General features: G+C 37.2%; 1 protein-coding gene across 1 annotated transcript in view, besides 1 other annotated feature; it reads right to left on the reverse strand.

Moving 5' to 3' along the window:
• TASP1 (taspase 1) overlaps nt 1–27,882 on the reverse strand; it is a 534,161-nt gene that overhangs the window by 65,161 nt on the left and 441,118 nt on the right. The window lies entirely within an intron of this gene.
• Nucleotides 4,740–4,789: an enhancer, noted in NCBI's record as "active region_17550". NCBI's record gives its function as "activates an Ori minimal core promoter by ATAC-STARR-seq in GM12878 lymphoblastoid cells {active_cell/tissue: GM12878}" and the evidence as "EXISTENCE:reporter gene assay evidence [ECO:0000049][PMID:35858748]".

Raw genomic sequence — 27,882 nt, forward strand, 5'->3', positions numbered from 1 at the left:
ACCTCATTAAAAGATAAGTCTTCAGGATAACAAAGGCATCAAAAGGAGTCAAATGTTAACCTTTTCTTTCCCTATTGTATAGCCTGCATGTAAATTCCCTGGATTAAAACTAGAAATTATTTCTAAAGTCAATACGTGGTGTCTTGAAGGACAATAAAGCAATCATTTTTAGACACTTACCACATGCCAGACACGATATTAAGAACTGCAACATTATCTTCCAAGTACTCTTGTAGAGATTAATAATGGCTTCATCTTGGAAGGCAAGTATATTCAAGTTATGAGGGGATTAACAGTGCATAAAGAGGACTTCCAAGACTTTGATGGTAGATTGTTTTTTCTTAGAATGTTTATCCTCTTCCTTATCAAATCAATTTTCTTAAAAAGTTATTTTAGCTAAACGTTATATATTAGCAGGAGTAATTCAATCAAGAATAAGGGAACAAGTGAAACCAGTTTCATTTGGAAAAGGTTGATTCCCATGCCAATCTGGGTTTAATGTAGGGACTGGTTATTCTAATTTTCATTGCATCCTGTGGTCCAAATGGGAGGCTGAATTCTGACATTTGCAAGTCAACTGCTCTGAGAAGTTATCACAGATACAAACCAATAAAATATCCAACAACAGAAGTTCAGAATAGGAGCAAAAGGAGACTTTGTTTTGCTGTGGCATATAACAGCGCTCCCTTTTATTCAGCCCAGCTGCTAATTTTTATATCAAAAGTATTGATTGAAGGGGCTAGTGGTTTTGGCCCTCACCCAAGTTTATTCAAGATCTTTCTTAATTAGGTTTGGGTCGGCTGCAGTGCCCATGGCCAGGGATAGGTCTGGCTCCAATCATCACATCGTGCTCTTACTTCATTATGGGCCAAGAACTAAGGCAAGGAAATGGCTGCTGCTTTGTTTCTCCAGCCCAAATGTGTGGGGTTTTTTCCCAGATCTGAAGCATGCGTGGACTAAAGGCATAAGGAAGACCAAAGGATGTGTAATGGCTTCGCTGTGATGAAATCAATCTACCCTACAACTTAACTATGACCCCAGCATGAATAAGGCTCTGTGTGTGAAAAGTGAATGGGTAGCAATGTGGGGTCATGGAAAATGCTCCTGGCATCATTTGAATAAAAACTTTTCAACAGGCTGATGCAGCCAATCAGTCTATCAGTTTTTTTGCCCTTTTAAGGGCAAAATAATCTCTGCCAACAATACATGATTTCCCCTTAATGTGTCTGTTTTGTAAATAATTGTGGTTGTCATACAACTATTTTTATAGTGTCCATCTCAATTTTATATAATTTACACCAGTCTTTTAAAAAAACGTTATACATGTAAAGCTTCAATTAATCATAGCCACAAATTATAAGCACCTGTAACAAAATAGGTTTCTTTCATATATAAAAATGTGTTAATATTTTAAAATGAAATTCAGTTCCCTCTAAAATATTTTCAACAAAATATCCATGAAGAGTTTTTAACTCTAAAAAAATTATCAAATAAAACTTCAAAATATAGATTTTTAAGCGATGTATTAATGAGACAATTCTAAGTGGGACCAATCAAAGTTAAAGATTTCCTATATAGATGAGGCTATAACTGCTATATACAGTCAATGTAACAGGTACATAATATAGAAAAATGAAAATATTTTATTAAAGTGGGTCCATTTCTAGTAAGATGAAAACTAACATTTTCAAAAGTTACACTGATTATTTGAGCATCTATTGTTTCTAATAGCGAATTAGAGAGGAAGTATGACTGGTATTGACATCAGTCAACATGGCTCTCGATTGTGAATAGAAATAGAAAGCCAGAGATTACCAGTTATTTGATGAAAACCAGCAATACCAAAGTGGGTAGCCAAGGAGAAAAAAATGAGAAATATCTTACTGACTGAAACAGACAATTCCTGGAAAAGTTAACTTTTTAAAAGTTCTAATTATGATCTTTGTAGGTCAACCTGATTGTATAAAGAAATTACATCCACAAAACAAGAATAGGCTGATATGTAAAGGAACCCAGAGTTTATAAAAATTAAAAATATGTAATATTAAAGTGGTGAAAATCAATAGAAAGCAAAGAAGAAAAAATCTTTGAATCTCAGAATATAAAGCAAAGGCCAGAAAAAAATAGAAAACATGAGAAAAAATGTAAAACGACAAAGAGGATACATACAGGAGGAACAATATCCATCTAATAAAAACTTGAGAAAGCATTATAATCCCTGAGGCTGAAACAAAATGGAAGATGAAAATGGACTAGCAAGTGCTAAGCGGATGAATATAAAAAGATTTTTATCTAAATACACCTTCATAAAATTTTTACTATCCCAAGGATAAAGGGAAGAACTTAAAATTGTTTTCAGCTAGAAAAAAAATTTTCACCTAAAAAGGTAAAAGTAATTGCTTTTACTACTGAATATTATAAACATGGAAAGTTCATACCAATTTTCACATCTGTTAACAGTGTATAAGTTATCCATTTCTCCAATCTGCACCAATACTATTATTATTTTTATAACATTTGTCAATCTTATAGGATAAAAAGGGGTTCTCTTTCATAAATGATGTCCATTTATAGTGATTTCTTTTCATATATATATACTGGCTGCTTGTATTTGTCTTTTGCACATTTGTTTGAATCCCCTGCTACTATTTCTATTGTAAATACCTCATCAGCAATACCAGATACTAGAAGACAACAAAGCACTGCCTTCAGAATTCATAGGGAAAATACTTTTGAATCTAAAATCCTATGTCCAGAAAAGTCTGTCTAATAAAGGGAGAGTAAAACGGGGATTTTTTTAAATGAAAGATTCAGAAAGTTTACTTCAGTACCCTTCCTTTAAAAAATTACTTGATGAATACTTCAATAAACACTTCCAAGTAAAAGAAAGACATAGTATCCAGGAAAGAGTGAAATTAATATAATAGTATAATGAAAAGAAATTTTGGAATGATAATTAAGGTAGATTAAATCAAAAGGTGATGGGTAATTTTTTGCTCAAGTCCCACTGGGTGTCCCTGGTTGCCAAGCAATCTCCTCCACATGGTGTTTCAGGGACCCAGGCTATTTCCAGCCTGTGGCTCCACCAACCCCTAGGACTTTGCCATTGCATGTGTGGTTATGGCTCCAGGTTTCAGCCTGGGGAAAAGAAAAAGTGATCATGGAAGAGGGCTCCCTTTACCCTGTATGATGATTGACTTAACTCTGACTCTTTAGACACATTGAGAGTGCTGGCAAGCCCTATTTCCAAGATCTCAGGGGAGCATCCAGAGATCTATAAAAAGCAGAATTGCTGCAGAGAATGCCCTAATATCTTAGTTCCTAGAGATGTAACCCTCCTATCCCAAAGCTGCTCCAACACCAACTTCATTTACTCACATCAGACAGATGAAATCTTATAAGCTTCATCCATTCTCCAGCTACAGAACCCAGAGTCATGACCACACAGCCAGTTGGTCAGCAGGTTAGACCAGTTACTTCTTGCGTCATGTCTCATTCTTATCAAGTATGGATGCACTCACCTAGTTCCTCAGGAAAGATATGCTTACTTCTGTTCACAGTGTACAAGGTGGCTGTAAGATGTGAATGCTCTCAGCAAAGGCACCTTTGAAATGGATGGGCTAGGCTGGAGGAGGGGGCGTTACAGCAGTGGTTGTCCATCTGCTGTCCTGGCCACAAGAACCATGGGCATGCTAAGTCTGGCCCATATGCTCCTCAGGATATGAAAACAGAGGTGATAGGTTTCTCACCTCTGTGATCTTTGCTCTGCCTCTCACATTGTCACACCTCACTTCAAGACCCTCCTGGGTTTCATTAGTGATGGTGAAAGTGAGCCAACTGGGGATTGGTGTAGGTTTGTTTGGAATTGCCTCTTTTAAAATTTCACTTTCACAGGGTAATAGCCTGGAGTCAACTCTTTGGTGAAATGCTGGAAAAGAAAAAATATGGTGCACTTTATGGCTTGTTTATCCATCTGCACCTTCCCTGATGCATGTTCCTGGAGTCTCTGCCTTCCTGGGTTGTGACCTTTCAGAATTTTGTAGCTTGTTCAAAGCTATTCTTCTGTGACAGTTTAAGGACTAGAAGAGAGAGCCACTAAAAATAACAGTGTGCACAACAATTCATTCCTGCCCCATCCCCAGTGCCGTTCTTCATTTCCACGTCCAGCCTTCAATGTGTATATATGTGAATGATGTGAAAATGAAATTTACATATGGTAGGTTCTCACCTTGTAGAAGTACGAATTTACAGGTCTGATTTTAGAAAATTATTGTTCATCACATCCCATGGGCATGTTCAGGTCTTTTAAATTTATACTTCTGAAGTTCATGATTAAATAGATGTTATACATTAAAGAAGAAAAGTTCAAAATGAGAGAGAGGCAACTTGAACATACATTTAGTTAACCAAAGCTTAAAAAATAATTTGAAAATTGTCTTAGGCTCATTATAATGATCTTGAATTATACTCTTAAGATATTCCAGGCAGGGTGTGGTGGCGCATGCCTGTAATTCCAGCACTTTGGGAGGCTGAGGTGGATAGATCGCTTGAGCCCAGGAGTTCAAGACCAGCCTGGGCAACGTGGTAAAACCCCATATCTACAAAAAATTTAAAAAATTAGCCAGGCATAGTGGCATGCGCCTCTAGTTTCAGTTCCTCAGAAGACTGAGGCGGTAGAATCACTTGAGCCTGGGAAGTCGAAGCTGCAGTGAGCCGTAATGCAGCCACTGTACTCCAGCCTGGGTGACAGAGTGAAACCTTGTCACGAAAAAAAAAAAAAAGAGATATTCCATAGAAGATGAACTTCTTTCATTACGTCTCAAATTTTCATCTACAAGATGCATTAAAAATGTACAGGTCTCTTTGATATGGTTTGGCTGTGTCCCTACCCAAATATCACCTTAAACTGTAATAATCCCCACATGTCATGGGCAGGGTCAGGTGGAGATAATTGAATCATGGGGGCAGTACCCCCATATGGTTCTCATAGTAGTGAATAAGTCTCACGAGATCTAATGGTTTTATAAATGCAAATTCCCCTGCATAAGCTGTCTTGCCTGCCGCCGTGTAATATGTGACTTTGCTCTTCATTCGCTTTCTGCCATGATTATAAGGCCTCCCCAGTCATGTGGAACTGTGAGTCAATTATACTCTTTCCTTTATAAATTACCCAGTCTCAGGTATGTCTTTATTAGAAGTGTGAGAACAGACTAATACACTCCTAAACTTGCAATTCTACCTCTGAGAATTTACACTAGAGAAATACTTAAGAACTTTAGTTTCTGGAAACATGATGATCTCACCAGAAATCCTCTCATTGCAAAGTGGAAATACTGGATAAAATGTAAGATTCTTTAAATGTAGGACTGAGCCCACAAGAAAGGAAAATCCCCAGGGATAAAATATGAAGAGGAACCTGAAATCATAAGCTGTAATAGCTAAGCTGAAATTCTGGAGGTCTTATGGGTATTTTCTGGTCTTAGTAACAGAGGTTTTTCCCTCTTTGTTCCAGTTTCCTTCCCACATAGGGAAAAAAGATGAAGACTTAGGCAACAAAGATAAAGACTTAGGCCAGTGAGAGGTGGGAAGTTAGACTACAAAAATCCACCCAAAGGCATAGAGCAATGACAAAGAAGCTTTTCTGTCTAGGCTCTAGATGAAAAAAAAATTGAAGTACTCTGAGAAATCATAACCACAGGCCTGACCTCACGAGTTTGGCACTTAGATTTACACTAGAATTTTCATGGGAAGAGATTAACTTAAACATGTTCTGTGCTGGTAATATCCATTGTGTACCTGGCAGAAGCCATTAGAAAATATCTCTGAAAGGTCATATTCTTCCACTGGGTTCCCCACTGAGATTCTACAGAAGATGAGCTTAGATCCAAAATTATAAAATGCATGGGGAACAAATGCACTATGAGAAACAGTAGTAGAAGTAGATCCCAGAAACCATAACAATAGATATCCTCTGATAGACATGAGAAAACATCATGTGTTAATGATTAAAGATATAAAGAATGAACTGAAAATATAGGAAAAGATGAGACTGGTTTGGAAAACAGAACTTTTAGAAATGTCAAAATATAATAATTAATAGTAAAAATCAATAGATGGGTTAAACAGGAACTTAGACTCACCTTAAGAGAAAATTAGTGAACCATATAAAAGAAAATTATTGAGAATGCAGTCTAAAGAAATAAGGAGATAGGAAATATATAGGAGAGTTTAACTGTACATAAGATCAGGTCATCTGCAAACAGGAAAATTTGACTTCCTCCTTTCCCATTTGGATGCCCTTTATTTCTTTCTCTGGCCTCATTACTGTGGTTAAGACTTCCAGAACTGTGTTGAATAAGAGTGGTGAGAGTGGGCATCTTTGCCTTCTTCCAGTTCCATTCAGTAAGATGTTAGCTGGATTTGTCATATGTGGCCTTTATTATGTTGAGGTTTCCATACCTAATTTATTAAGAGTGTATATCATGAAGGATTGTTGAATTTTATCAAAAGCTTTTTCTGCATCTATCAAGGTGATCATATGATTTTGTCCTTCAGTCTATTTATGTGATGTACAATGTTTATTGAATTGCATATGCTGAACCATCTTTGCATTCCTGGGATACATTTCACTTGATCATGGTGTATTTTTTTTTGATCTGTTGTTGGATTCAGTTAGCTAGTATTATGTTAAGGATTTTTGCATCTATGTTCAGAGATATTGTCCTGTAGCTTTTTTGTTGTGTCCTTGTCTGATTTTGATATCAGGGTTTTATAGAAAAATCTAGGCTCTACCAGAAAACTCTTAGAACTGATAAACAAATTCAATAAAATTGCAGGATACAAAATTAATATACAAAAATCAGTAGTGTTTCTGTATATGAACAACAAACTAGCTGAAAAGAAATTAATAAGTTTATCCCACGTACAATCGCTACCAAAAACAATAGAATACCAAGAAATAAGTTTAACCAAGGAGGTAAAGGACCTCTATAAGGAAAACTACAAAACAATGATGAGAGAAATTGGGCTGGGCACGATGGCTCATGCCTGTAATCCCAGCACTTTGGGAGGCTGAGGCAGGTGAATCACTTGAGGTCAGGAATTTGAGACCAGGCTGGCCAACATGGTGAAACCCCATCTCTGCTAAAAATAGAAAAAGTTAGCCATGCATGGTGGCACACACCTGTAATCCCAGCTACTGGGGAGGCTGAGGCAGGAGAATCGCTTGAACCCAGGAGGCAGAGATTGAAGTGAGCTGAGATCATGCCACTGCACTCCAGCCTGGGTGACAGAGTGAGACTCTGTCTCAAAAAGAAAAAAAAAAGGAAAGAAATTGAAGGGGATACAAATAGACATCCCATGCTCATGGATTGGAAGAATTAATATTGTTAAAATGAACATACTACTCAAAGGAATCTACAGAGTCAATGCAATCTCTATCAAAACACTAGACATTTTTCAAAGAAACAGAAAAAAAATTCTAAAATCTGTATGGAACCATAGAAGATCCCAAATAGTGAAAACAATCCTGAGCAAAAAGAACAAAGCTAGAAGTATCACACTGCCAGACATCAAAATATACTACAAAGCTGTAGTAACCAAAACATCATGGTGCTGGCATAAAAACAGACACATAGACCAATGAAATAGAAAGGAGAACCCAGATATTAATCCATATATCTACAGCCAACTGATTTTTGATGAAGATGCCAAGAACACTATTTAGGGAAAGGACTGTCTCTTCAATAAATGGTGCTGGGAAAACTGGATATCCATATGCAGAAGAATAAAATTAGACCCCCACCTCTCATTGTATAAAAAAATCAATTCAGAATTAATGAAAGACCTAAATGTAAACCTGAAACAACAAAACTGCTAGAAGAAAACATAGCAGAAATGCTTCAGGACATTGGTCTGGGGAAAGATTTTATGTATAAGTCCTCAAAAGCACAGGCAACAAAAGAAAACATAGGACTGAATCAAACTAAAAAGCTTCCACACAACAAAGAAAACAATCAACAGAGTGAGAGGACAACCTATAGAATGGGAGAATATATTTGCAAACTACTTACCTGACAGAGAATTAATATCCAGAATATACAAGGAACTCAGACATTTCAACAACAACAACAACAAAAACAATGTAAAAATGGGCAAATGATCTGAGCAGACATTTCTCAAAAGACATACATACAAAGGGTCAACAAATACATGAAAAAAATGCTCAGCATCACTTATCATCAGGGAAACGCAAATAAAAACCACAGTGAGGTAATATCTCACCCCAGTTAAGATGACTGTTATCAAAAAAACAGAAAATAACAAATGCTGGCAAGGATATAAAGAAAAGGGAACTCTTACAGACTGTTCGTGGGAATGTAAACTGGTACAGCCACTATGAACAACAGTGTGAAGGTTCCCCAAAAAACCTCAAATAGAACTAACATAAAAGGAATCCCACTACTAGGTATATATCCAAAAGAAGGTAAATCATTATACGGAAGAGACATATGCACTCCCATGTTTATTTCAGCACTACTCGCAATAGCCAAAATAGGTGATCTACCTAGGTATCCAACAACAGATGAATGAAGAAAATGTGGTATATATACACAATGGAATATTACTCAACCATCAAAAAGAATGAAATCCTGTCATTTGGGGCAACATAGAGGGAACTCAAGGACATTATGTTAAGTGAAATAAGCCAGGAACAGAAAGTTAAACACCACGTGTTCTCACTCATATATGGAAGCTAAAAAAAAAAAAAAAGTTGATCTTATAGAAGTAAAAAGTAAAACAAAAGATACCAGAGGCTTGTAAAGGTAGGGGAAAGGGAGGAATGGGGAGAGACTTATTGAAGGATACAAAATTACAGCTAGATACAAAATTACAGCTAGATAGGAGAAATAGGTTCTAGTGTTCTATACCACTGTAGGATGACTATAGTTAATAATAATACATCATTTCAAACAGCTAGAAGGAGGATTCTGAATGTCCCCAACACAAAGAAATGATATGTATTTAAGATGATGAATATGCTAGTTACCCTAATTTGATTACTATACTTTATATGTATCCAAACATCACTATGTACCCCATGAATATGTACAATTATTTTTGTCAACTAAAAAAATAAAATTAAAAACAAGGAAACTGTGAAGGAGTTTAAGAATGAATTGAGGATACTACAAAGATTGAGCAACAGGGATAACAACATTGTTTCCGAAATCTAAATGTTGGAAATAATGTAACCACTTACAAATAGAATTTTTGTTTAATTTTAGTATTTTTATAATTTTTATTTGACAAGTTTAATTAACTCAAGGTAAATACCTGTAAAAATGTATCTATTGACATTGAGAGTATAAATTTGTAAGCCTAAATATTTAAAACATGTATTCGTATAAATGCATAGGAAAATATCTTTAAAAAACTATACTAGATTTTCTTTGGATAAGTAGAATTATGTGCGTGTGTGTGTGTGTGTGTGTGTGTGTGTGTGTGTATAATCTTCCAGAATTAGAAAATAAACAATTTGGAGAAAAAATACCAACATACTGGAATAACTCAGAACATCACTCTTGGATTAATAATTCATTCTTGTTTAATGCCTTTATTTGAAGTCCCCACTGCTGGGTACTGGACCCTGAAGATAATGGTCAAGACTGCTTAGAGGTTTGTGGCTTTGTATTCCAAGACAAAAGTGTGAGAGGCCTCTTGAGAGTCCTCCTGACCCATGCAGAGTGAACCTGGATCTCAGACATGGAGTGCCCGTCACACAGGGTCAATATCTGGATTTTACAGAAACACCTGGCCTTATCCTCCACAGCTGTTTACCCCGGAGAGTCTGCTCCATTCAGAGAGCTGTCCACTCTGGAGAGTCTCCAGATACGGTTTTTAGGACACCCAGCTTCCGTGAGGATAATGAGAGAGCTAGACCCCATGTCATTCTGTAGGATGAATCTGTTGATTTCCCCCAATACCACCCACTCACCAAGCCCCTCCCATACTGGAGAGTTTGTAGTCTATGGACACAGCGTTGGCCATTCTGTATTCAGAATAAACAGCCTGCCCTTCTCTGAAGTCATCACTCATCCAGACTGTAGGTTGGCCTCCCCACCTCATTCTGAATCCTGATTCTAGGGGTCAACAGTCATTCATGAGGACCTGGACACTCATAAGAGAAAAATCTAGTAATGATTTCAAGAATAAATTCTGCCTTGGACTGTAAGCTTCCTGCTTCAGGAATCATGACACTCTATTGCAAAAGCAATTACATATCACAAGATACAAACACTGTCAATATGCTATTAACACCACATTTCCAAACTGGAGTAATTTCATACACCCCAGCCAGACAATAACACTTAGCTTTGATTAAATGCCTGTAACCTACCAAGCCCTATTCTAGGTACCTAAGCAACACAGTTGCGGCACAAAAGCCATGTTCTGAGGTCTTCTTTAGCTTCCCCATCATGTCCACCAGCGCTTGCAAAATTAATATTTTCTTAATCTTCTGGGCAAAAATTAAGGGCAAAATACTGCCCAGCTTCTGCTTTCCCTTCCCTTCAGACTGCTGTCTCCTCTAAGTTCTCCCAATATAGAAAGTCTAGAGCAGCCACTGAACATTTGTTAATTTGTTTGCTTCTTACCATCATTTTTGAGTCTGGCATAGCTCTTCAATGTTAAAGATGAGGAAGTAGACTAAGAGGGAAAAGTAACATTGGAATACAAAGGCATAAATCGCCAGGCCGTGAGAAACTGTTCAGTCTGTCCTATCCCAAGGACTAAGCTCTCCCTACTCTCCTAAACTGCCTCCCTACACAAATACTTAATGAGTAACAAATGTGTCAGGAGATAATAGGGAAGGAAGATAAAAGCCACTTCTGTCCCTACCTGTGAGATGCTCATGTTCTGGCAAATGAACCCAATGATCTGGTTAAAAGATCAAGTGTTTATGGAAGGCCAGCTGAGTTCACAGCAAGATTTAATAAAAAGAGTCATGACATCCTTGGGCTTACTTTATTCTCTGCATGCTGGTGTCTTCTTAGAGCAGATGCTCATATCCTCTTAGCCCACCTTGGAGGTTACCTGTAGGTTAGTGAACAAACACTCTGACAGCTCCCTATCCCAAGCACCTGCATCCCTCTGGTTAAAGATTCTCTCTTGACTCAGGAGTCCCTGGTTCACATAGGCAGGAGTGGATGTCTCAGGAGCAACTCTCTCCCATGAGCCATTGGAACTGGCAGATAAGCACCTTGGCCTCTTTGCCACCAGGGGTGATAATCTGAAAGTATGTTCTGCACAGCATCTCAGAATGTCCTTAGCAAGATAGTGCTCCAGCTGCCCACAGGGGCAACAGGCTCATCAATGAACCCTTTACGGCAGTCTTTCCTTCCCTGGCCCCCTTTTCCACTCTCTCATCATGCTTCTGGAATCTCCTCCCACGTAAACTCCTGGCACCCAAATCCTTGTCCCTGGGTCTGATTTTAGGTGAGCCCAAGCAAGAAGACAGCTCTTTTCTTTTCACCCACAAACATCTAATCTTGAGGTCTATGGTCTTATAGGAGTCACGAGAGCTTGCTCAGTAACTATGATAAAGTTATAACCTTCTCTAAGGAACCAAATATTGACCTTTCCACTGGAATGTCTTGACAAAGAAACTACTGACTATATGGAAAGTGTCCGGTGTCTTTTAAACGTGATGACGATGAGACATATTACCCACTTGCTCTGATGTGGTGGTAAAATGCAAGATCAGAGGTCAAGTAGACCTAGATTAAAACCCCAGCTCCACCTCTTTTTAGATGAGTTGCCTCAGAGGAGTTACTCAATATCTCTGAGACGCAGTTCCTTCATCTGTAAAATCAGATCTTAAATTTTACCTTATAATGACTTAATGTGTTAAGAAATGTAAAATATCAAGCACATTACCAGGCATAGTGTATGTGCTCAATAATGTGAAGTAGTATAGAATTCAGAGATTGCAAACACAAAAACCTAAGTAGTAAGGATAAAAGAGAAGCCAGCTGAGTGCTACATTAGGCTGTAGTGGGAATTGTGGCAAAGAGATTAATTCAAGCTCTTTCCAAAAGCATTAAAGTTCACATTTAAAGCCCACATCAACCAAACAAAATACCCCATGAGCCAGATCTCACCTGTGGGCTTCCCTCTTTGTGACTTCTGTTAGGAAACCAGACTAAGCCCTGCCTTTTCACATGCTGTTTCTTCTTCTTAAAATATTCCGTCTTTCCTTCATTGCCTGTCAAACTCCTATTCATCTTAAAAATCCCCACTTCCATGTAATCAAATATATAGATATGCTTCCACTTTTCTTTACAAGAGTAATTTCACCATTCTCCAGGCTCCTACCTGGCATGTAGTAATTAATGCATTGCATTTCATTATCTGCTCTCATATATTTTATTATCATTGTATTTAGTTATCTGCTGTCACATATTTCATCATCTGCTCTCTGATATAGTGTTAGATGCACAGTTGCAACTGACCTGATTATTTCCATGAGGGGTAACCAGCCACTGTCCTACATCCTCTGTTTTTACTCTTCTGTCATCCCAATTTCTATCCTGGAATACCCTCAACCTCCTCATGATCCAGAAGCCTTAGGACCCTCCTCCTGCCCAAGCTGCTATATATTATGATTGGTGAAATCCAATGCCAATCAATTGTTAAACATGTAAAATTTCTTCCTGATTCTCTCCACATCTTCCATGAGCTTCTTAAAGGCAAAGACCTTATTCTCTTCCCCTTTTATTCACAGCACCAAGAACAGTCCCTAACCCACAGCAGAAATTAATAAATGAATGAGTGAAGGAACAAATAAATAATTCAAACAAGTAGCGAATTATCTTTCTTAGGCATTTAGCACTCAGTGTTTCATATCAGTGATTTACATGACGATAAAGTAGACATCGATTGACAACAGTTCATTTAAGGAATTTGATTCTTCTTTCAAAATATTTCATCTGAGGAACATAGCAAAATAGCTAAAAATCTCCACGATCCCTGTATCCAAGTTCATATGGACTGTAACTTTGCCACTGTTCCTAACAAGATGTGGAGTTTATTTCTCCATCCTTTGAATCTGGGTTGGGCCATGTCCCTTGCTTCAGTCCATAGGACAATAGCAAACATGATGCAAGCTGAGGCTTAAAAAATGTTTATACAATAGGGTTTGCCCTCTTGCTATTAGCAACCCTGAGACCACCATGTGAAGTCATCCAAGCCAGAAGGCTGGATAATGAGAGACCACACAAAACAGAAGTGGACTGACTCATCTAAGGCTTCCTAGATTAATCAGCCTGCCAACTGCCTGCCAGACGTGTGGGTGAATCCATCCTAGACCATCCATCCTTAGCTGAGATATTAAGACCAGAAGATCTGCAGCCAACTTACAGAATTGTAAGAAGGATTAAATGCTTGTTGCTTTAAGCTATTAATGTTTGGGTTGATTTGTTAGGTAGCAAAAGCTAACTGATACAAGTATATTTTAATAAGTCTCTAGTCAAAATTTGCATTTACAAAGCAACATAAAAAGTAAATTTCTTGGAAATTAAAGAGAAACACACATGGATTATCTACTAAAAACATATAATATTAAGAATTTTTACCAAAAAATTTAATAGGTTGAGAGTAAAATATTCTTAGATAGGAAATGAGAATTTTACAAATAATTCTCTCCAAATTATAAACTTAATAAAAACAAAACTATTTTGAAAAATAACAATGAACAATGGCAGATTATCAAGCAATAGCACAAGCAGTTTTCTTTTATAAGAAAGTAAAATAGTGGACCGGGCGTGGTGGCTCACGCCTGTAATCCCAGCACTTTGGGAGGCTGAGGTGGGCGGATCACGAGGTCAGGAGATTGAGACCAACCTGGCTAACATGGTGAAACGCTGTCTCTACTAAAAATACAAAAAATTAGCCGGGCATGGTGGCACATGCCTGTAATCGCAGCTACTCAGGAGGCTGAGGCGGGAGAATGGTGTGAACCCAGGAGGCAGAGCTTGCAGTGAGTCGAGATCACGCCACTGCACTCCAGCCTAGGTGACAGAGTGAGACTCTGTCTCAAAAAAAAAAAAAAAAAGAAAGAAAGAAAGTAAAATAGTGTGGTAGTGTGGTACTGTATAAATTTGTATTCAACATTTATTCAAGAAATATTTATTAAGTATTCACTAGGTGCCAAGCACTGTTCTAGCTATTAGGATACAGCAATAAATAAGACAGATCAAGTGACAGTAACCTCATAAAGGTTATAAATCAAGCAATAGATTATAGAACAAAAGAGAAGAATACAAATAAGCCCAGGTACCTATGAAATCTTACATGATGATGAACTAACCAAAACAATGAAGATGTGAAAAGTGATTTAATTGTATTGTAATAGTACATAAGTACTTTAAGAAATTTAATTTTTTAATATTGCTTATCAGTAGTATAATATATTCATTCTTCAATTGTCCATAAGCTATAAATAATACTATTCTAAGCCCTTCAGGTTGAATGAATTAATACATTGCACTTCAGGTTTTTATAAGACCTGATTAAAACCTTTAATCTTTCACAATCACAAGCTCAAGTAGTAGACTTAATTGTTAGTCTTAATTATTTCTGCCACTGTGGTATTATGATAATCCACATTGTTGTCATGGACTTATGGGCATAGTATTCTTTCCCTTCCTTTGACTTTGGGCTTGGGTATGTGACATGCTTTGGCCAATAGGAGCAGGGCTTTAAATTCTGCTTGTATGATTGGCCATGTCTTCCCACACTTCTGCTTTTTGCCATGAAAAATACATATTTAAGAAGTTTTTGGTCTGAGGAGGATAAGAGACATATGGGGTAAACAATCCACAGCTGGAATCAAGCCCAACTAAGCCCAGTCTAGGTCAGCTGAACCTAAGCTGACCCACAGACACGAGTGAGAAATAAATGCTTACTGTTATAAGCTACTGAGTTACCATACCAACACATAGGAAGATCTATACATTTTAAATAACTGAATGCTTAAAAACTAAAAGAAAATATTAGGGAAGATTTTTTTTCCCTCAAATATGGAAGATTAAAAAAATAACATATAATGACTTTATTTAAAAATCAGTACTATCAAAAAGAACCAATAAATAAATGGGCAAAAGACATGAGAAGACAATAATTTCATATAATAAATACATAAAGAAAAATGTTAAATTTGAACAGCAATAAAAAATGCAGAGTAAATCCATAATAAAGCACCATTTCCAATGCTCTACTTATTAAAAATATGAATAATATAAGTTGTGTTTTGGGGAAACTAGGCCACTGCTCTTAAGACAGAGTCCAAGCACTTCACAATGATCACTAAACCCCACTCCAATGTCATCTCCCACCCCTCCCCCAAATCCAGCTCCACTGCCATCTTTCTGAAATGTTCTTAGGTTCCGCCTTCCTCAGGTACCTCTCATACATTATTCCTGAAGATATTCCTTCTTCCTCCTTGTCACCCTCACTTCCCAGCTCACCACTACCTCTTTCTCCTAGTTGACAGCATATAATTTTACTATATCATGTTTACCCTAGGAGATATGGTCACTACATGGAATAATGGCAGAATTGTCCCTATTATTGAAATTGTTTATTTTCTGTATCCTTAATTTTTGTTGCACACCTGTACTTGATTCCATGTGACTCCATTGACTTTATGACAATGGAATTCTCTCTAAAATTTCAGTACAGAATCCCACTTTATTGGTGACCTGCTAAGGGCCTTACATTACCTTCTCATAGATTATTGTCTCATAAAAGTCATGGCAACAACATTGCAAAGTAACTATAAACATACTCATTTTTATAGAAAAATAAAGTCTCAAAGAGGAGGTTAAGGACACTTCCAATCTCAGCTCTCACATGTAATGAGCTTGGAAGTCATCACTCCCATCCTTATAGCAAGAAATGTCTGAACAAACTGAAAATCCATCACTTTTCTTGGGCTCATCAGAAAACTGACATGGCAGGGCAAACTGTGACTCCAAAATCTGGGCATCCAGGGGCATCCAGGAAGTCACAGTTAAGATCTACTTACCTGGAGCAAAAGCTGTTGAAGCCTAAAGTAGTAAGAACTCTCAAATAGTAATTTTGGTGAATTTGTGGAGGCTCAGTGTACACTAGCATGATAGTGAGAAACTCCTGGGATCCCCAGTCTTAGAAGGGGGCCAGATTTTCATAAGGCTTACCTCCAGGAATGCCACAAGGTCTCACAATGAAGATCCAAGAAAGATTCCCTCCTGGCTCTGGCTGGGTATAGGAAAAGTAATCCTTGTTAAATATGTACATAACACTTTCCATAACAAAGACCTACTTTCCCGGGGGGAAAAATGTTGCCAGAGCCGTATTCTTTCTGGGAAAGGGATATTTCTCTTACGTTAGTCTCCAGTCTTCTTATTTTACCTAAAGAGGCTGCAGGGGAAGAAAACATAGCCAACAGTGGACATGACCCTAAGGAAATAGACTGGGAATGCTGAAACCAGGGAAGAATGTAGGTGGAAGAGGGGAAAATAGCTACATTACCAGTAGAACAGTTGTGAAGGTCACAGCCCAAAGACATAGGCTAAATAGAACACTGAGATTTAATTGAAAGATTACAAAACACTCCCCTTCCCCAACACCTTATACCAAGAGAGCTCCATTATAATGACAATATATTACAGCTGACAGAGTCTTTCTAAAGAGGAATCTGCAGGGAAGGCCAAAATCAAGATAAAAACAAGGATACTAGAAGAATTTGAAACTTCTTGCACTTATAGCTAAGCCTTAAACAAAGTCATATTTCTAGCCAGACTAATAAAAATCCTCACACTAAAGACCTATTTTCAGCCAATACAATGTGTTCAACTTTCAACAAAAAGGTACAAGGCATGCCAAAAGAAGAAACAATCTGAAAAATAAACCAATCTTCATAACTAGACTTAGATGTGATACAGATGTTTGAATTATCAGACAGGAAATTAAAATAACTCTGAAAAATGTGTTAAAGCCTCAAATGTAAAAAGTAACATGCAAGAAGAGATGGGTAATGTAAGAAGAGAGATAAAACTCTAAGAGAATCAAGTGGAAACTTTAGAAATAAAAAACACTGTAACAGAAATAAAGAATGCCTTTGATGGGGCTCATCAGGAGATTTGATGTGATTGAGAAAAGAATCAGCGCGCTTGGAGATAAGTTAACAGAAACTTCCCAAACTGAAATGCAAACAGAAAAATAAGTGAAAAATGCAGAAAAGAACATAGAAGTACTTAAGAAAAATTTCAAAAGGTAGAACATATGAGTAATGGAATACCAGAAGGAAAAGAAATGAAGCAGAAGAAATATTTTAAGTAGTAATGGCTGAGAACTTACCAAAACTAATTACAGACACTAAACCATAGATCTAGGAAGCTCAGAGAACACTATAAAGATAAATACAAACAACAACAACAATTAAAAAAAAAACCTGAGGCCAATCACATTCCAACTGTATAAAAAGACAAAGAAGGCCGGGCGCAGTGGCTCACTTCCATAATCCCAGCACTTTGGGAGGCCGAGGTGGGTGGATCACAAGGTCAAGAGATCAAGACCATCCTGGCCAATATGATAAAACCCTGTCTCTACTAAAAATACAAAAATTAGCTGGGCGTGGTAGCGCACACCTGTAGTCCCAGCTACTCTGAATGCTGAGGCAGGAGAATCACTTGAACCTGGGAGGCGGAGGTTGCAGACCACTGCACTCCAGCCTGGCGACAGAGTGAGACTCCATCTCAAAAAAAAAAAAAAAAAAAAAAAAAGACAAGGAAAATCTTGAAAGAAACCAAAGGAAAAAGCACCTTACCTAAAGAAGAACAAGGATAAGGATTACAGTGGACTTCTCATCAGAACCATAAAAGCAAAAAGAGAATGAAATTGCTATGATTTGAGTATGTCCACTCCAAAATTTATACGTTGCCAGTGTGAGATATGTGTGTGTATATACATATATATATATGAGGGCATTAAGAGTAATTAGGCCACTGAGGGCTGCTCCCTTGTTAATAGGGTTAAGGTCCTTTTAAAAGAGGCTTCCCTCAGGTTCAGCTAGCTTGCCCTATTTCCTTTTGCCACGTGAAGATGTAGCAAGAAGCTCATCAGATCAAAGGAGGAAAAATTGAAAGCCTTTCCTCTAAGATTAAGAAGAAGATAAGGATGCCCACTTTTACCACTTTGCTCAACACAGCACTGGAAGTCCTAGCCAGAGCATTAGTAAGAAAAATTAAAAGCACCCAAATTTGAAAGGAAGAAGCCAAACTGTTCCTGCTTGCTGATGGCATGATCTTATATTTAGAAAAACACAGTCCACTAAAAAATTCCTAAACTAATAAATAAATTGAGTAAAGTTGCAGGATACAAAATCAACATACAAAAATCAATAGCATTTCTATATCCCAATAGCAAACAATCTGAAAAAGAAATCAAGAAAGCAATTCCATTTATAATAGCTACAAAAATATACTATCAATAAATTTAACCAAAGAGGTGAAATATCTCTACAATAAAAACTATAAAACACAGATGAAAGAAATCAAAGAGGACATAAACAAATGGAAAGATATCTCATGTTCATAGATTGAAAGATTATTGTTGTTAAAATAACCATACTATCCAAAGCAATCTACAGATTCAATGTAATCCCCATCAAATAACCACCAGTAACATTCTCCACAGAAATAGAAAGAACAATCCTAATATTCATACAGAACCACAAAAGACCCTGAATACCCAAAGCAAGCCTGAGCAAAAAGAACAAAGCTAACTATGTTAAAGCAAACTAAATATGGCTGAGAAAGACTCCATACTTCTGCATTTGAGTCCTCATGGATGAACTGTAACCTAGCTTAACAGTCAGAAAAATTGAAAACCTAACTTAATAGTATGCACCTGTAACAATAGCTGAGCATTGGCCAATCCCAGCGACCATTCTTCAACCACTCATAGACTGCTAAATGGTCACTGCATTCAAATAAGGCAAATTCCAGGCTGTAACCAATCTCACTGTTTCTGTACCTCACTTCTGATTCCTGTATGTCACTTTACGTTTTTTGTCTATAAATTTGTTCTGACCACAAGGCACCCCTGGAGTCTCTGTAAATCTGCTGGGATTCTGGGGACTGCCAGATTTGCGAATCGCTTATTGCTCAATCAAACTCCTTTAAATTTAATTTGGCTGAAGTTTTTCTTTTATCAACTATAAGAATCCTAAAAGAAAATCTAGAAAATACTCTTCTGAACATTGATCTAGGCAAAGAATTTATGACTAAGTCCTCAAAAGCAAATGCAACAAAAACAAAAATTGACAATTGGGACCTAATTAAACTAAAGACCTTCTGCATAGCAGAAGAAACTGTCAACAGAGTAAACATACAACCTACAGAATAGGAGAAAATATTTGCAAACTGTGCATCTGACAAAGAGCTAATATCCAGCATCTATAAGGAACTTAACCAAATTTACAAGAGAAAAACATCACCATTAAAAAGTGGGCGAAGGACATAAATAGACACTTCTCAAAAGAAGACATCTCAAAGTGGCCAACAAACATATGAAAAAACGCTCAACATCACTAATCATCAGAGAAATGCAAAACAAAACCACAATGAGATACCATTTCATACCAATCAGAATGGCTATTATTAAATAAAAAAAATAGCAGATGTTGGCAAGGTTGTAGAGAAAAGGGAATGCTTATACACTGTCAATGGGATTGTAAATTAGTTCAGCCCCTGTGGAAAAGTTTGGACATTTCTCAAAGAACTAAAAATAGAGTTACCATTCAACTCAGCAATCCCATTATTAGATAGGAACCCAAAGGAAAATAAATCATTGTACCAAAAAGATACCTGCACTCACATGTTTATCACAGCACTATTCATAATAGCAAAGACATAAAATCAACATAGGTGCCCATCAGTGGTGGAATGTATAAAGAAAATGTGTTACATATACACCATGCAATACTATGCAGCCATAAATAAGAATAAAATTATGTGCTTTGCAACAACATGGATGCAGCTGGAGGCCATTATTCTACATGAATTAACACAGAAATAGAAAACCAAATACTGCACATTCTCACTTACAAGTGGGAGCTAAACATTAGGTGCACATGGACATAAAGATAGGAACAATACACAGTGGGGACTCCAAAAGAGGGTAGGGAGCAAGGGTTGAGAAACTACTTATTGGGTCCTATGGTTACTATTTGGGTGATGGGTTTAATAGAAATCAGCATCACACAATATATCCATGTAATAAACCTGCATGTGTATCCCTTGCATGTAAAAGAAAAGAACAAAGGTGAAGGCAACAGACCACCTGACTTCAAAATATACTGTAAAGCTATAGTAACCAAAATACCATGGTACTGGCATAAAAACAGACACATAGACCAATGGAACCAAATCAATAACCCATAAATAAAACCATGTATTAACAGCCAACCAATTTCCAACAAAGGTACCAAAAACAAACATTAGGGAAGGGACAGTCTCCTCAGTGAGTGGTGCTGGGAAAACTGAATGTTTCATATACACAAGAATGAAATTAGACCGCTATCTTCACCATATACAAAAATCAACTCAAAATGGATTGAAGACTTAAATGTAAGACCTGAAAATGATAAAACTACTAGAAGAAAACATTGGGTAAACACTTTAGGACACTGGTCTGGGGAAAGATGTTTTGGGTAAGAACTTAAAAGCATAGGCAACAAAAGCAAAAATAGACAAATGGAATTATATCAAACTAAAAAACTTCCGCATGGCAAAGGAACCAACCAACAGGGTGAAGCTACAACCTACAGAATAGGAGAAAATACTTGCAATATATCTCTTCTGCAAGGGATTAATATTCAGAATATATAAGGAACTCAAATAACAGCTAAAAAAGAAAAAATACAAATAATCAAATTTTAAAATGAGCAAATTATCCAAACAGACTTATCTCAAAAAAAAGAAAAAATACATACAAATGGCCAAAAGGTGGATGAAAAATGTTCAGTATCACTAATCATCAAGGAAAAGCAAATTAAAACCACAGTGAAATATTATTTTGCCCCTGTTAAATTATGAAAATTACAAAAAATAACAAATGCTTGCAAGGATATGGAGAAAGGCGAACTCTTATATACTGTTAGCGGGAATATAAGTTAGTACAGCCATTAAAACAAAACAGTATAAAACTTTCTCAAAAAACTAAAAATAGAAATACCATTTGATCCAGCAATACCATTACTGAGTATAGATCCAAAGGAAAGGAAATCAGCTCTCGGACGAGGTATCTGCATTCCCATGTTTATTGCAGCACTATTCACAATAGCAAAACTATGAAACAAACTAAGTGTCCATTAACACATGAATGGATGAGGAAAATGTAGTATATATACACAATAGAATAGTATTCATCTATTAAAAATTATAATTTCTGCATTTTGCAGTAACATACATGAGTGTGGAGGATATCATGTTAAGTGAAATAAATCAAGCACAGAAAGACAAATACTGCGTGTTCTCATTCATATGTGGAAGCTAAAAACGTTGGTTACATAGAAGTAGAGAGTAGAATACTGGTTTCCAGAGGCTGATAAGGACCAGAGGAGAGGAGATAGGCAGAGCTTGGTTAATGGGTACAAAATTACAGTTAGATGAGAGGAATAAGTTCTGGGGTTCTATAGTGCAATTAGGTGACTACAGTTAACAACAATTTATTGTATATTTCAAAACAGCTAGAAGAAAGAAATTTGAATGTTCCAAATACAAAGAAATGATAAATGTTTGGGGTGATGGATATTTGAATTGCCTTGATTTGATCACCACAGGTTGCATATGTGTATTGAAATATCACCTGTGCCTCATAAATATGTACAATTATTATGTATCAATTAAAATTGTTAATTATATTTCTAAAAAGAAGCCTAATAAGACCAAATACTGGCACCTTTGTCTTGGATTTCTCAGCCTCCAGAATTGTGAGAAATAAGTTTCTGTTCTTTGTCAATTACCCAGTCTGTGGTATTCTGTTATAGCAGCATGAAGACAGAAGTAAAATGTCTGAAGTGTTGAAAGAAAAAAATCAACAACCTAGAATTCTGTATCCAAAGAAATTATTTCATAAGTGAAAGAAAAATCTTTCTCAGGCAGACAAAAGCTGAGGGAATTCACTGGGAGCAGATCTGCCCTGTAAGAAATGTTAAAAGTTTTCGAGGCAGAAGGAAAATAACATGGATCTGAAATTTGGAGGTACATAAAGAACAGGGCCGGGAATGGCAGCTCATTCCTGTAATCCCAGCAATTTGGGAGGCCAGAGAGGGTGGATAGCTTGAGCCCAGGAGTTCAAGACCAGCTGGGGCAATGTGGTAAGACCCCATGTCAAAAGTGTTTTTAAAAAACATTAGCCCAGTACGGTGGCAGGTGCCTGTGGTCCCAGCTACTCAGGAGGCTGAGGTGGCAGGATCACTTGAACCCAAGTGATCAAGGCTGCAGTGAGCTCTGATCAATGCACTCTACGTTGGGCAACAGAGCAAGACCCTATCTCAAAACACACAAACACACACACACAGGCACACATGACACACAATGCTGGGAGTTCAGTGGTGCAATCACAGCTCACTGCAGCCTGGACCTGCTAGGCTCAAGGGATTCACTCACCTCACCCTCCCACATAGCCAAGACTACAGGCACGCACCACCACGCTTGATTCATTTGACGACTTTATTTAAAGTTTTGTTTTTGTTTTTTTTTTTTGTAGAGAAAGGGTCTCACTATGTTGGTCACAAACTTCTGGGTTCAAGCCGTCCTCCCACCTCAGCCTCCCAAACTGCTAGAATTAAAGGTGTGAGCCACTACACAGGGCCTAAATAATAACTTTTCAGAAGTAACAAAAGTAACAATGTATTGGAGTGATTATAGCATATGGTTAAGTAAGATAAATGACAGCAATGTCACAAGGTACAGGAGAGAAAAATTAGAAATATTCTGTTCAATGACACCTGTACTTCATATGAAGTGTGTTATAATGTTATTTAAACACAGACTGAGATTAGCTTTCCAGAAAATGTATATTGTACACTCTAGGGAAACCACTAATAAAATTTTTTCGGTATAATTAATATGCTAAGTGGGGAGATAAAATGGAATCATAGAAAATGCTTAATTAAAACCAAAAAAAGCAAAAGTGCAAGAAGGCAAAGAAGCAAAGAGAAATACACTGAGAAGAAAACAATTACAAACATGACAGCTGTTAATGTGACTATTATATCAATAATCACTTAAATCAGAATAGTCTAAATACACCAATTAAAAAGCAAAGATTATCAGTGTGGGTGAAAAAAAATCAAAGATGTGGTAAGTGGAAACACCCAGATATGGTTTCCAGATGGTCTCAATATACAATAAAGGCACAATAGAATGACTGGGCATCTCTTTTACAGAAAAAAAAGGACTAAGTCACTGACCTGAGTCAAGCTACGTCCATCAAAACATACAAAAACACATAGAGCAAAAACATGAAATAGCTCTAGATATTCAAAGAGTTGTTAAGGTAGTTGCATATACTAGTTAGAAATGCATTCGGTTGCAAGTAAGAAAATACTGTATAAACACTGGTTTAAACAAATAAGGGTTTAGATTTCTCACCTAAGAGAAAGGCCAGAGACAGGCAGTTTCTCGTATGGGTTCAGCTGCTCAACAGTGTCATCAAGGAGCCAGACTACCTCTCTCTTTTCATTCCATTTCCTTTGGCATTTGTCCTTATGTCTGTTGCCTCATTATCCCAAAGTGGCCACCATCGTTTTGGACCTCATGTCCTTATTCAAGACAAGAAAATAGGAAAGCGGCATGCTAATAGTATCTGTCCCACCTTAAGAGGAAAGTAGGTGCTTTCCCTGCAATTCCCTCAGAAGACTTCTGTTTACATCTTATTGGCCAGAACTATGTTACATAACCACCTGTAGATGCAAGGTAGGCTAGGAAAATTTGTATTTTGCTTTTTCAATCTATGTAATTTATGTAGGTGATACAGAAAAAGGTAGACCAACTTCCTTTTAGTGGCTACCGTTGTATATCCAAATGAAAACAGAAAAATGTAATTGTCCAGCTATCATTAGTTTTGTTTTTTCTTCTTTTGTTGTCTAAGTTTTTGATTTCTCAAAAAACAGCAAAAAATGTTTCTATTGAAGATTATCTAGGTAAGCCATAAATTCACCTAAAACTTGATCTACTTTTTTCCTTCTCTGAGCTATATCTGGAGTATATGTTTCCATGGATTAGGACAATATGGCTCAAGGGAAAAAACATAATTTAGGTGAATACATTGTGCAAAAGACATGCAAAATCCCTCTAGGTTTTGCATACAAGAGGTTTAAGTTATATCATTCTAGGATGACTTAGGGCATTTGGTGTAGAGTACCAAGCCAGGAGTCCAGTAGAACATTCTCAATTGCAAATGGTTGAATATCCAACTCCAGATGGCTTCCTTAAGCAACAAAAGGAGTTTCTTAGTTTGAGCAGAGGTTGATCCAGTGAGTCAATAATGTCACCAAGAAATGTGTGTGTGTGTGTGTGTGTGTGTGTGTGTGTGTGTGTGTGTATGTGTGTTTCCATGTGTCTTTTCTGCCATCTATATCAGTTTCACCCTAAGGTTGGAGAGTGACTCATGCTCACATGATGGCTGCCAACAATTACAAAGTTAATCTTTTTCTCATATACATTTAAAATTTGACAAAGAGATAAAGAGATATCTTGTTCTTATCTCAGCCATTTAGTTTGCTACCATGTTTCACCCTGTTCTGACTGAATCCTAATTGATCGATCACATGCTTACCCTGGAATCAATCACTGTGACAATAAGAGCACAATGATCTGACTGGCTTCTACCAACTAAGGCTCATCCCTGTAACCAGTGATGGGATGAATTTCATCTAAAATGTAAAATGCATAGCTACATAGAGAGAGGGGGTGCGCCTGGGGTGCCTTGCAGCAACCACAATTTCTACTAGATCAAGATTCCTGCATTGCTTCTCTACCATTTGTGAGGACAGGACCCCATGAAACTTGGATTCTTCTTCTATAACATACGAATGGTAAAACCTACTCAATCCATGCCTTGGCGCCCTTAAAAGGATTAAATATTAGGTGACTATTACTTTTAATGGCAAAAACCACAATTACTTTTGCACCAACTTAACAATATAAATAAAGATACTTTGTAAACTAAAATTTTTGGCAATGAAATTTAAGTTTCTGGATGAATTTCCATTATACACACTGGGCAGCTGCTGCATAACCACCTAGATTTACTTGGCCTTCCCATTCCTGTTTGCACCACACAACTTCCAGTGGCAGGCATCTATGTCCCTTTGCCCTGAGTGTTTTCTCTAGGCACCGGCCCTCTCTGCCCGTGTGGAAGTCAAGTCACAAGGGCGAGGGAATTAGCATCCTTTTCCATAGCCCTCAATCAGGCTAGCCTGTGAGTGACAGAATCAAGGAATCATTCCTTGCTTCCGAGATGGGATCATTCTGGCGTGTTTTTCACAGATCACAGAGTGGCACAGCATGATTAAACTCTGGGTGCCCACTACGGTAACTGGCTTGCTATCACATCTTATGTTGGCTTCCTTCCCTCCCAGTCTTAGTCCCACCCCTGCTTACTGGGACCACCTCCCAGATAAAGTTCTTGCGCTCATATCCTTGTCTCAGGATCAGCTTCTGGAGGAGCCCAAATGAAGACATAGAACAAACTAGAATCACATGACTATGAGAATGCTAATTTGACATGAAAAGTATATTCCAGACATTTTATTTTAAAACACACACAGTGATTCTTTTTAAGTTCTTTCTGTGTGTTTTCATTTTCTATGCATAGTATACCTTTGTTTCTAGTTAATTTATCATGCTGCCGGGCTAACTAAGGGGTCAAGCATGGCCTGCCTCCAGAAAAGATAAAACACACGCAATGATACCCAAGTGTATTTTTCACAAAGTCCTGCCCTGAGGATATATTATGCTATTAGAATATAGAACCTACAATTAGTATATTTATCAGTAAAATACACACTAGGCCATGATAAATTTGTGGGTTTGAAAGCAAAAGAAAAGAAACACATTCAAGATGCATTCACTTAGCCATTATCTTTTTTCCTAAGTTTTGTTGTGTACTGAGTTCATTTCTATTGCAACCAAGCTATTAAACTGACCATTTCAAGCTAGTAAACTGACCAAGCTATTAAACTAACCATCAAACTGAACTGGCCATTTCATCTAGGCCCAGAAGAAATGATGGCCTATTATGCGAGTATTTTAAAAGAATAATTTAGTTTTAAACCATCTAGTAGTGTTGCATACAAATATTAAAAAGTGAACTGTTAGCTATATTTGTTTTCTTATTTTACAATTAAATTCAAATTTGGTTAATAACAACCCTGCCTCAGGGCCTTTGTACCAGCTGGTCCCTCTATCTGGAGTGCATATCTCTGCATGGCTGGCTCTTTCTCATTATTTGGGTAGTAGAAAGAACTTCATGTAAAACTGCACTGTCCAGCATAGTAGCCGCCAGCCACATAAGGATGTTCAGCACTTCATATGTGCCATCTATGTGAAATATAGGCTGGATTTTGAAGGCTTAATATGAAAAAATATATTTTATTAATCATTTTAATATTGATTATAAGTTGAAGTGATCTTTTGTATACTTTGAGTTAAAACATGTATTATTAAAAGTAATTTTACTTATTTCTTTTTACTTTTCTCAATATACTCACAGAAAATTTTAAAATACATACATGGCCCATGTTTATAGCCCACATCATATCTCCATTACTCAGTGTAGACCTAATATAATCCCCATATCAACTTCATAGCACTGTTTGTCATCAAAGCACTTTGTCACCACTGCAATTGTACAAGTAAATTACCAATTGTTTACTTGTATATTGTAAGTTCCAGGCATCTTTTCAGCCAAGTTTACTCTGGCATATAGTAGATTGAAAACATACTTGATGAAATAAATAGATGAAGGAATAAAGGAATGAGGGACTATAAGGTCTGTTTTCCTGAGAGCTCCCCTGTCTATAGTAACTCCACCTCATTTGAGTGTCACCAGGTTAATGAGCTAGACTACATCCCCCTGGAGGCAGGGGTGCAACACACAAAAGAAACAGAACTTGTTCACTGGCCATTACTGAATTACGTTTTGTGGTTCTCTTTATGATAGTACCATCAGAAAGGTAAGACTATTTGTTTCATCTGGTAAGAGTGACCAACCCACCTAACACAGACCTAGCTCACGAGAGGATTTGCTGGTTATTAGGAAACTAATGACTCAGTAACTAAGGTGATTGACTGGGACCAAAAAGACTCTAGCTGACCTTCTGCTTAGGCAAGAGTCATTACAGCAATAAAGAAACTAGAGGGACTGTGCTGGGCTAGAAGTCACCTCTAATTGCTGGCCTCTGAATCCCATAACTGCCACTAAATGGCTAGCAGTGTTATATAAGTGATATAATTAAGCTTCATAGCTAACAACCCCATTAAGATGAATAGGGAAGTTCACTCTTCACTCACAACAATTACTTTTAGATTTGCCTGTCTGAATACTCAAAGACTTTGTCCAGACTGAATCAAAACCTACTTATACTTTGCCCTGAATTGACTCTGTCCTGTACAGAAAGCCAGCAGCCAGGGGTTGGGCAACTGTAGTGCTCTATAAGTTATGAGAGAAATTGTCATTTTCTCCTTTCTTATCTTAGATTTTTTATATTCAAGGAACAGAGAAGGTGTAGAATTTTGAACTCACATCCAGATTGCCTAGAGTTCAAAT

Source organism: Homo sapiens, chromosome 20 (genome assembly GCF_000001405.40).
Source record: "Homo sapiens chromosome 20, GRCh38.p14 Primary Assembly".
NCBI lineage: Eukaryota > Metazoa > Chordata > Mammalia > Primates > Hominidae > Homo > Homo sapiens.